The sequence below is a fragment of the Homo sapiens genome, chromosome 5 (genome assembly GCF_000001405.40).
Source record: "Homo sapiens chromosome 5, GRCh38.p14 Primary Assembly".
Taxonomy (NCBI): Eukaryota; Metazoa; Chordata; class Mammalia; order Primates; family Hominidae; genus Homo; species Homo sapiens.
In genome coordinates, this window is record NC_000005.10 from 169,991,781 (window position 1) to 170,003,804 (window position 12,024).

Here is a 12,024-nt window from a genome sequence, read left to right on the forward strand (position 1 = left end):
ACAGACCTGAGTTTGGGTCTGGACTCTTCTGCTTCTTTGCTGTTTGAATGTGGGGAAATTATTTGCTCTTTCTAAGACTCAGTTTCCTCTTATGTTTAATGGGTATAACAGTAGCTCCTATTTCAGTTTATAGAATTAAATGAAATAATGTTTGTAGAACTGTTAGCACAGGCCATATGAATTATGGCAATTGATGCTTCCATCATTGTCATTATTAATAAAGTGAGCTCACGGCTTGGATTGAACAGAACTACAGAGATGTCCCTGTGGACAGAACTGCCCTGTGGTTAAATACCTAGATTCTGCAGGCCGTGTAACTTCATGTAAATCCTGATTTTACATGTACTGGCTGGGCTATTGGGAAAGTTACCTAAACTCACGTCTCTAAAGTGGAAACCATATCTAACTCAGAGATATGTGAGCATTAGAAAAACAAAAGCAACAGAGGAAAGAATCCATGCAAAGCCCTAGCATGGAGCCTGGCAGGCAGTTGAAAACCATGGTTGGGATTGTTCTTCCTCCTATACAGCCGCTAAGCAACACAGACGAGACACAGCAAGTGCTAGGTTGAGATCTGATAACGAACTTTGTTTTCAACAATTCAGGTTCATTGTTGAGAGTAATAGAGTTGAGTGTGTTTTCGTCCTAACCCACTTTACCATATGAGTGCTTAGGCTTTAAGTACAATTATTGTTGTTGTTTTGAGACGGAGTCTCGCTCTGTTGCCAGGCTAGAGTGCAGTGGTGTGATCTCGGCTCACTGCAACCTCCAACTCCCTGGTTGAAGCAATTCTCCTGCCTCAGCCTCCCGAGTAGCTGGGATTACAGGCACTCGCCACCACGCCCAGCTAATTTTTGTATTTTTAGTAGAAATGGGGTTTCACCATGTTGGCCAGGCTAGTCTCGAACTCCTGACCTCATGATCCACCCATCTCGGCCTCCCAAAGTGCTGGGATTATAGGCGTGAGCCACCGTGCCCAGCCAATTACTGTTTTTAAAAAAAAAACAAGAAAAATGAGAAGAAAAATGCCTTACTTTTCCAAACCCAAACATGGGCACCCAAAGTTAAGTGATATTCTGATTTCCAGTGTGTGGCTATGAAAGACTCTAGAGAAAGGGAGGAACTTTGATTTACCTGCTACTAATCCCCATCATCAGCACAGGGGCAAATCAATTCGCGGTCATTAGGCTGGCCTTTGAGGCTGGAGACAAGTTTAAGCTGACAACCAAAATAATGACTGTTACTGGAATGACTGATAGCTTTGTTGGTGCTGAGAATGTGTGAAAGCCCCCTCTTTGATATTGTATTCAAGTTTCTGAGATGTTTACATATAATGTGACAGGCACTCAATGCATTTCCATCTGGGGGATCAGATAACTAATCTTTAAGGAGAGAACACAAAATACAATGTTGTTTCAAAGACATATTGGTGAATAACAGACTAACAAAACCAAAGAAATCTCACTTTGTGACAGCCTGATGGGGTGGCAGATTTTGTGGGATTTTTATTTCTGTTTTTGTATGGTGCTGCCTGCCTCAAAACTGTCTGCTGACTGATCCCTGTCCTCTGTCTGCCCTGTTGTCTGGCTCTTGCCTTTAGAAGAATGAAGCAGTCCAGAGGGGTCTGAAGCCACCTCAGCTAGTGACCCTGTGAAAAAGGTTACATTACTGCTATTTCACAAGGGAGGAGACTGAAACTTCAGGGGTTATATTAACATGCTTCAATTCCACACAGCTGGAGAGTAACAAAGCCAGAAATCACATCCATTTGTGTGTGTGTGTGTGTGTGTGTGTGTCCAAATCCTGTGATTCCAGTGCCAGGATACACTGTCTTCCGTGTTCAACAGTCATGAAAGTATTTTAATGAACACCTGGCCCTGCAGTGCCTGATGTAGCAAATGCTGCAGATACTCCACCCACCGACTCTTGGACCACCCAAAATCCACTGGCAGCTTCAGTGAGGCTTTCCTACTTCTTTCTTTCCCTGGGCTTTGTCTGGCTACAGAGTGCTCAGCTCACCTGCAGGACAGGCCAGAAGTACCAGGGACTTCCTGCTCATTGGAGCAACTTTCAATCAGTGAGGGGCTACAGCTAAGGTGTAAATAACCCAACCTTCTTGTTCCCTGGGAGGGGACACTTCTTATATGCAAATGTGTTCTGTAAAGTCCAGGTGTAGGATATGAGAGAAAGTCATAGTCAAGGACGTTACCAAAATTGTTTCCTTTTTTCCCCCCACTCTGAGCAATTGGAAGAATAGAATTGTCCTTAACTTAGTTGGGAAGACTACAGAAAGCAGTATTTCAGGGTGGGTGTAGGGAGGGCAGGTGGCCGGAGTTTAGTTTTTGACATGTAAGCTTGAGATGCCTAAAAGTTACTCAAGTATGGGTATAGATCATAGAGCTGGAGTGCAAGCTGGTGTTTAGGGGAGAGGCCTGGATGGATATACAAATTTAGGAGTTAAAGTCATGTGGACTGGGGAGTATGTGAGAGCATAGAGGGAGTCTGTGATTCCCAGAAGAGTAGAATCTACCAAAGGAGAGAGATGTTACTGAGTCATACAAGTAAATCATCCTAGACCATGATGAATGTTGGGAAAGGGGGTTGCAATGAGGATCCCTTGGGGTACACATGGGTGCAGCAGACCCTGCCCTGCAGAAGCTCATAGTCTGAAATTAGAGATGCGGCTGCACACAGACAGCTGGATGTAAAGTGTGCTCATAGGAGGGGTGCCAGAAATAACCTCAGAGAATGGGGGTGGTCTCAGTCACTTAAGGCTGGTGGGATGGTGGAAAACTAAATGAAGAAGGCTCTCGATCTGGACCATGAAGGATAATGACCATGAAGAATCCTGACTTTCAGAGATGAGAAGGCAAGGGACATTCTACACAAAGAAAGAACATAGAGAGGGATTTGGGAAATACCAGAAACACAGGGTACTAGCAAGAAATAAGCCTAGAAAAGAAGGTTGGGGTCCCATCATGAGGGGAGAGACTGTCCAGAGAAAGAGCTTGGACTCACCCTGTAGGCAGTGGAGAGCCATGAAGTCAATGATTGATATGATGGAGCTGTCCTTTAGGGGAAGGAGCTTTTCAGGATGAAGAGACTGGAGGCTGCAAGACCAGTCAGAAGGGCTTGGCAAGGAGGAAGGAGAGAACAACATGGAGAGGAAGACACTTAAGGAGAAATGCAAATTGACAAGTACCAAAATGTTAAACATGCATGACATTTGACCAGTATTGTTATTTTTTATTTTTTTTTTTTTTTTTTTGAGAGAGACTCTCACTATTGCCCAGGCTGGAGTGCAGTGTCATGATCTCAGATTTCTGCAACCTCCAACTCCTGGGTTCAAGGGATCCTCATGCCTCAGCTTCCCAAGTAGCTGGGATTACTGGCGTGCACCACAACGCCCGGCTAATTTTTGTATTTTTAGTAGAGATAGGGTTTCACCACGATGGTCAGGCTGGTCTTGAACTCCAGACCTCAAGTGATCCACCCACCTTAGCCTCCCAAAGTGCTGAGATTACAGGCGCAAGCCACTGCACCCGGCCCATTTGAACAGTATTATTACTTGGAGGAGAACAGTGGAGAAGGGGTATATATAGGAGGTATTTGATATACACAGAAGAGTGATCACTGGAGCATTGTTTATTACAGAAAAAACTGAGAAAAAAACCCAAAAAGATCCATCAATAAGAAATGGATTAAACTGTGATACATCCATACAGTGGAATGCTCTTCAGTGATTAAAAAGGATGATATATATCTACATTCATTGGCCTGAAAGAAGTACACAATTTATTGTTGAGTAAAAACGACAGGCTGTGAAACAGCATTTGTTGTTTAGCCCCATTTATCAAAATGATACCCTGAAAATATCATTCATGTATATACATGTAGGGAGACCCTTGAAATTATGTTCATCAAAACATGGATGACAGTTTTCGTTAGGTGATACGATGTGGTAGCAGGTTGTTTATTTGTTTGTTTGGGGATGGGGGGGGTGATTTCTCTTTAGATCTTTTCTGGATAGCATGAATTTTCTTCCATAAGCTTGTAATATCTTAAACATAAGACAATGCAAATTTTCAAAAAGAAGTCGAACAGTTATTGAGTTCTTGCAAGGCAAACAGCCCCGAGTCTAGAGTGTGAATAGTTGTTAATCTGCATTAGCTGACCTCTCTAAATCAGTAATTTGGCCTTTGAGCCTCTCTCCAAAGAGGGTAAGGGAATTTTAGTCTGGCATAAGGACGAAGGAACTTAAGGGATCATGCTCAGACAGTCTGGTAATTTTCTGCCCTCTTCCAGGGTCTTCCTGAGAGCTATCAACAAGTTTGCAGAAACCATGAACCAGAAGTTCCTAGAACACACGAACTTTGAGTTCCAGGTGAGTATAAGCCACCAGAGCTACCCTTGGAGCTGCCCAGGGCGTCTCTGACATTCTGGGCTGATTGCTCCATCAGACACATCCCAAAGGCCACAGAAGCTGTCCCAGTCTCTCCAGGGATTCCCACGGGGGGTTATGGCTGGGGAGAAAATTCTCAGGCTTTCAACCAGGGCCTTGATTAAATAGTCATCAACTGATCATCATATGCAAATGTGACGGTATAATGGCCTCTTATATTAACAAGGAGATTTGCATTCATTCATTGTCAGAGTCTGTACCACCTTTTAAAAATGTATCACCTTTTTTTTACTTTTCTATTCTCTGGAACCAAAAGGGCAGCCAGTCATTGACAATGAAAAATGATTTACAATCAAATTCTCCAGTACAACTTTGTGGTTTCCTGATTCCTTTGAAAGTCATTTTTAGTGCTCAGCCAATAACTGGGACCTCTAAGAGATTCAGGGTCCTAAAAGTATGTGCCTGGGGCAAACAGAATGACACACCTGCCCCAGGTCCAGGCCCAAGAAGCACAAACTCTGTGGGAAAGTCCAGATTGCTTCCTCTGCCTGGAGATGTGCGAGGGAAGGCCCCCCACAAAAGGATCCCCTCCAGGGAAGTCTCCGATCCCTAGCATCTATCTCTTCCAGTGGGGGCTTAGGGGGTAGTAGGCACTGAGCTCATGAACTGGAATGATGGTGTTTTTTCCTTGCTGTAGGGGTGGGATGCCCCTCCACACCTGTGGGTGTTTCTCGTAAGGTGGGACGAGAGATTTGGAAAAGAAAGAGACACAGAGACAAAGTATAGAGAAAGAAATAAGGGGACCCGGGGAACCAGTGTTCAGCATATGGAGGATCCCGCCAGCCTCTGAGTTCCCTTAGTATTTATTCATCATTTGTGGGTGTTTCTCGAAGAGGGGGATGTGTCAGGGTCACAAGACAATTGTGGGGAGAGGGTCAGCAGACCAACACGTGAACAAAGGTCTTTGCATCATAGACAATGTAAAGGATTAAGTGCTGTGCTTTTAGATATGCATACACATAGACATCTCAATGCTTTACAAAGCAGTATTGCTGCCCGCAGGTCCCACCTCCAGCCCTAAGGCGGTTTTTCCCTATCTCAGTAGATGGAGCATACAATCGGGTTTTATACCGAGACATTCCATTGCCCAGGGACAGGCAGGAGACAGATGCCTTCCTCTTGTCTCAACTGCAAGAGACATTCCTTCCTCTTTTACTAATCCTCCTCAGCACAGACCCTTTATGGGTGTCGGGCTGGGGGACGGTCAGGTCTTTCCCTTCCCACGAGGCCATATTTCAGACTATCACATGGGGAGAAACCTTGGACAATACCTGGCTTTCCTAGGCAGAGGTCCCTGCGGCCTTCCGCAGTTTTTGTGTCCCTGGGTACTTGAGATTAGGGAGTGGTGATGACTCTTAAGGAGCATGCTGCCTTCAAGCATCTGTTTAACAAAGTACATCTTGCACCGCCCTTAATCCATTCAACTCTGAGTTGTCACAGCACATGTTTCAGAGAGCACGGGGTTGGGGGTAAGGTCACAGAATCTCAAGGCAGAAGAATTTTTCTTAGTACATAACAAAATGGAGTCTCCTATGTCTACTTCTTTCTACACAGACACAGTAACAATCTGATCTCTCTTGCTTTTCCCCACACTTGCTCATCTAAGTTGTTCAGTTCCTCTCTGGGCTTTCGCCTCTCAGAAGCTGAGCAACTTCAGGCAAGGCCTGGACTGTATCCGTGCCTCAAGTGAGTCATCTGTAAAATGCAACAACTACCCTTTCTACTTCATAGGGTTTTTCCAGAACTGGAATGTGACGAAGGGCTTGCTGGAAGAATCCACTTGTAAGGTCCCATAAGTTTCTGTTCAAATACTTCCTCCTTAAAGAGGCCTCCCCTCCTGACTCCTCCCTGAGGATCACCCCCACTCACTCCACAGTCATTATGCAAAACCATGTGGCTTCCTGGAGTCTCTTCATAGCACTAAATATCATTAGAACTCATCTTTCTTGTCTACCTGCGTATTTTCTCTTTCCTCCCATAGAACTTAAGCCTCGTGAGTATAAAGACCTTGAACACACAACAACTCTATGCTCTGTACCTGGCACATAGTAGGTCTCCTTGAGGAGGTGACGTCTGGGCTGAGGCCTGTGAGATTCACCCTTCTGAGAGCACCAGCCTATGAGTAGATGAGTATTTGCTGAGAGGATGAACAGGATCTTTGAACAAGAGTCTCTTGAACTACCTTGCATTCAAATCAGGCAACTGAGTGACAATGAGAGCGATAATAAAATGCGTAGCTGCCATTTTCTGATGGTTAATAATACATGCCAGATCTCACGAGAAGCACTTTAAGGGCATTATCTTTTGCAGTCTTTACAGCCACCCTACAAGTTGGCCACTATTACTAATATTTTTTCTGCTCTAAGGAGGCAGGAAGTAAGACTCAGAGATAATAAGGAGATAGCATGGTGTCACCGAGCACATCAATGCAAAGTTGGGACCAGAACACAGTGGTGGCTGACACCAAAGCCCACCCAGATGACTACAGCCACGTGCCTGATATAGACTTTCACCCTTGCAGTGGGTTGACTGCCTGACAGGGTCTGGGTGAGAGTTTCTCCTGGCATTATAAATCTTCGACACGGGAACAAAGCATATCTCTTTAGCTGGTTTGAATCAGGAGAGATGTTTGATTCCCTTCCAAATGTGGCTGAGAGGCCTGCAGGCTCTGGTCATGGGTATGTTTAGGGAAGTTTCTGCTTTTTGGGAGGGGCAACTTGGAACACCATACCTAGGGGCCAGAGGTGACAGGGTTTGGTCCATATAACTGCGAGCTAGTTTGTTCATCTCTTTCCGTGGGTATCGGCTATTGCAGCCTCAAACTTGCTTTCCTGACTTCACTATTTTCCATGCTCTTAGATGGATATTTTCCAAGAGAAGCTCAACTTCAGTCCTTCAGGGCATTCCTTTAGGTTTATATCCTGTTTTCCTGAAAGAAAATCTGTATTTGAGAGATGCTCAGAGATTGAGGGTTTCATACATGAGAAGTACGGGCTTGCAAGCTGAGTGACTTTAGACAAATTACTTCATCTCTATGTGCCTCAGTTTCCTCAACATTAAATCAGGATACTAATAGCAGCTATATCATTGGATTGTTGTGAGGATTAAGTGAATTCACGTAAAGCATTTAGAACAGTGCTGGGGACATAGCAGCCATTTAGTAAGTGTTAGCTCATTATAATAATAGTAATTTTATTATTTGGATAATGATTATGATGATCATGCCCCTAAATGTGTCAGGGCTGGGAATGCATGTCAGTCCTTGATAAACAGGACAGGAGGCCTCTTTCTGGTCACCACAACATTGCCTGGGGCTGTCACACCCACAAGATTCTGTAAAACAGAAGAGTGGCCAACATTACAAAATAAAGTAAGTCTCTTTTCCTAATGAGGCTTCCATAGCTATTTATTGAAAAGTACCCAAGAACAGGATCATTTTCCAACCTTATCTTTGTTCTCCTACCTCTTCCTCCCCCTGTGTAAGAATGGATTTGTTCTCTGTACCCTGCCTGGAACACGCCTTGTCTCCTTCTTACGGGCTCATTAATTATGCATTTAATATCAGCAGGAACAGCATCCATCACTGACTGCTGCCTGTCTTGGCAGCCACTGACCAGAGGAGCAGCAGGTGCAATGAGATTATCCCTAATATCTTTCCCAGAACTGTGGTTTTGTGATTCAAAGGGCAGAAAGTAAGAAGCTTGGTGACTGCCACTCTGTAGGTGACAAGAACTGGGAATTATAAAAATGGTGTTTTCTGGTTGCGGCTAAGATCACTTGCATTCCAGGCCCTATTCAGGATGCTGGTCCTTGGTGTCTGCATCAGTTCATGTGGTCAGGGAAGACCAAGAGAGGATTTCAAATTCAAATCAGCAGGTATTTTTGTTTAAGAGCAATTCTTATGGGCCCAGACTATTGCAACATGCTTCAAGGAACTCAGAAGCAAAGAACACTGCCCTACCCTCAAGGATCTTGGAATCTTGATAGAAGGCTATACAAATCCATCTTCCAGCATCCAGGCTTTTGAAGAGGGTGACTAACTTTATTGGGCATCTACTTAGAAAATTTTGATTCTCATCATAATCTTGTCAGGTTGTGATATACCCATTTCCCTGGTGAATAAACTGAGCTTCAGAGAATTGATTGACTTTTCTGTTAAAGGTCATCTAACCAATAAATGGGGCTGCTGCGATTCAACCCCAGGCCTGTCTGCAAAGCACATCCTCTTTTCACTCTTCTGCTCTGTTTCTTAGGAACCGGGTGCCTCTGGATTCCAGGAGACAGCTCTATTTAGATCCAGAAGCACTCTCTGCCCTTTCTAGTTCTTACTGGCACTGGGATAGAGAGCGCTGAGATGATTGGCTGGAAGATGAGACTCTCCATGTTGAAATCTCTGATTGGCCCTGGAATCAGAGATTATACTTGGGCTCCAGAAAGACTCTGTGTTAGGCAGCACTGTCTTTGGTATTGAGATCATTCTCTCTCCTTGGGGATGCTCTAATTGGCTCTAGGTGTGGCCATTTCTGCCTAGGCCTTGAGGCATTTTTGGATTACCAGCCTATCCTGGGAACCAGTTTTGATATCCTGTGAAATGAAAAACTTCTAGACTATTTCTAGCCATTAGTAGAGGCATGAGAGCCACCTTGGTCTTTATAATGGGAAATGTAAACAGTGATGCCAAAAACAGGCGAGGGAGAGACACATACAGAGGGAGCAGTCATCAAAGCCTTGCAACTGCCCATAGCGCCACCACAGGGGGACTCATGGTGGGATGGTTGGTTCCACCAGGCAGAACGGTGGGCACATGCTTGGGTGCAGTTTCCCCAGCCCTGCCTGCTTCAGCTTTTAGGCCCCAGACATTCTCTTGTCTGATATTTCTCACCTGAGTCCACACCTGGGACCTTCCACTCCCCAAATCAGAAGCATCCCCAGAGTGGTCATGACAGCTGTGCCTCTGCCCTGCAGAGGAGGGCAGGCTGACTGCATTTCAGCACCACTGCATGCTGGTTAATTTTTTTTTATTGAAATTTGGGATAAATAATGATTCAAGGTCACTGAGAAAGAATCCTGATTCTGATTAAAAAATCCTGGATCTCTCTGCTATAAAGACTATAGTCTTTATAAACATCGGATGGACCAGTGACAACCTTAACCAACAAAGCTGAAAGGACACTGAGAAAGGAGAAGAGCGATTTCAGCAGAAGAGCAGGGTGGTGAAGAATACAAGTCCTGGAGTCAGATAAACTGGATTCAGATGCCACCTTCACCGTTTTGTAGCTCTGTGATGTCGGACAAGATATTGAACCTCTCTGGGCCTCAGTTTCCTGATCTCTAAAATGGGGAGAATAATTATACAAATCTCATATTTTTTTTAGGGAGGATTTAACCAGAATGCATGCAGTGTGCTTGGTTCGTTAATGAACTCATTCAAAAAATAATTTCCCAAGCACGTGCTGGCTCAGACGTGATGTGCGATACTGTGTGAACAAGAGTGAATTTAAAAAGAAGGTTCTTGCTTGCTTGATGCTGACAGCCAGTAGAGGAGACAGAAAATAAATTAATTTTGTTTAAAATATGACACAGATGTTGTGAACAGGGTATAATATGGGTGAATAATGGGTGAATCTACTTTGCTTGGATGAATGGAGAAGGCTTTTGCAAGACTGAGAGTTTGCTAGCCAGTGATTTCCTCATTTAGTCCTTACAACCATACCCTTTAGATACTATTGTCCTCATTTTCTAGATGAAGTTACTGAGACTCAGAAAGGTAGGGTACCTTGTCCATGATAATGGAACTGGTCATTGAACTGAAACCCTGGAAGGCAACCTGACAGTATCTATAAAAACAAACAAAGACAAAAAACAAACAACAACTAAACATGCATAGACCCTGTGTCTTAGAAATTCCGGTTCTAGGAATGTATACTACAAATGTAGTTTCCCATGCATAAAGATGTTTAAATAAAGGCGTTGATTACAGCACTGTTGCTAGCGAAAAAAAAAAAAAAATTGGAATCAAGCTAAATGTCTATAAATAGGGAATTTGGTTAAAATTAAAGTACATCGTCATAGAATACAATGTAGCAATAAAAGAGAATGAAGCAGATCTGTATATGCTAATATAGAAACATTTGCAAGATATATTGGTAAGAGAAAAAAGCCAAGTGCAGCAGACTTTTAAAAAAGATGTCTGTACATACATTTGTTTATGCATAAAAAAATTCTGAAAGGCTATCCAAGGAATTGTTAACATTCTCTTCTGAGGAATTAGACTTGGATCCAAGGTAGGATGGAAAATAACTTTCTCCCATTTAATCTTTTCTATCATTTATTTTTTTAACTATGTGTGTATATTACTTTTATAATTTTTTGAGAGTTAATTAAAGTAACTAAATTCTCATTATACCCACTAGCAGTATGACTTTGGGTGGTCTTTTACCTTATCTGGACTTTACTGTTTACCTCTGTGCAATATGGTAGTCAGAACAGATGACACTTAAATTTATTCCAGTTCTAACTCTCTATTGTCCTATAATTTCAAAATATTAAATTCCCAATCGGAAATCACCTCATCTCTTCCCCAGGGCAAAGAGACCTGTGCATTTTGCTAAAGACACACTGTAGCTTCCCCTAGTCAGCTGAGCTAGGCACTTAGTAGAAATATCACCAGACAGTTTCTAGCAGGGCAGAAAGAAAAATCTGGGACCCTTTGAAGAATTTCTCTGACAATACGGCAATAGATAAATAAATATTCTCAGGAGCCCAGCTGTATTCGAGTCATTGTGCTGAGCATGGAATTAGAGATACAAATAAATGGGAGACAAAATCTTGGTACTTGTGGAGCTTACAATTGGAGAAGACAGGGCTTACAAATACTCCACAACCAATGCTACCATCAACACCACCATTCCATTTACTGAGCACTTGGTGTCAAGCCTATAGTGGATGCCTCGTTCTCAAATTATTGATCCAGTAATTACAACAGTCCTTTATGGTAGGTACCATTATGTTGGGTATTTTACAAGTGAGGAGAATGAGGCTCAGAAAGGTCAAGTCACTAGCCAAAGGCAACCCAGCTAATAAGCAATAGAACTGGTTTTCACACCCTGGTCTGCAAGACACTGACACATGTGCTCTTGACTACCAGACAGTGCTGTCATGAGAAACAAATGGAGCACAAGGCCAGGTGCAGAACAGTGGACTAACATCCATGGTTGCACACAATAAGTGCTCCTCAAATCAGGAAGTGATCAGGCAGACCCAATATGCCCTGCAGTCTAGGAAGGCTTCATGAAGGAAGCGGGTCTTGAACCCAGCTTGGATGTAAGAATAGGACACAATCCCTGCAGGTGTGAGAACCACAGTGAGTGAAGCCATGGAGACCAAAATGCTCCTGTGATCTCCGTGGAGTCTGAGCAGACCAGGCCACCTAGGTGGGCAGTTGTTGAAGGAGACAGCACTGGGGACCATGGAAATTGTATGAGACTTTAAAAGCCAGGTGGGTTCATTTGGATCTGATTCTTTGGGAACAAGAGTGAAGAAAGGCTTGGGGCAGAGGCCTT

General features: G+C 43.6%; 1 protein-coding gene across 2 annotated transcripts in view; it reads left to right on the forward strand.

The window, feature by feature from the left end:
• DOCK2 (dedicator of cytokinesis 2) overlaps positions 1 to 12,024 on the forward strand; it is a 446,108-nt gene that overhangs the window by 354,506 nt on the left and 79,578 nt on the right. Inside the window, exons 30-31 of one of the 2 annotated variants that reach the window (NR_156756.1) lie at positions 4,306 to 4,384; positions 6,194 to 6,244. Coding sequence is in view for 1 of the 2 variants with exons in the window: in NM_004946.3 (NP_004937.1) it covers positions 4,306 to 4,384 (79 nt within the window). In the remaining variant the exon portion in view is untranslated. The remainder of the gene's footprint in view (positions 1 to 4,305; positions 4,385 to 6,193; positions 6,245 to 12,024) is intronic. The other variant, NM_004946.3, reaches the window with a different exon arrangement.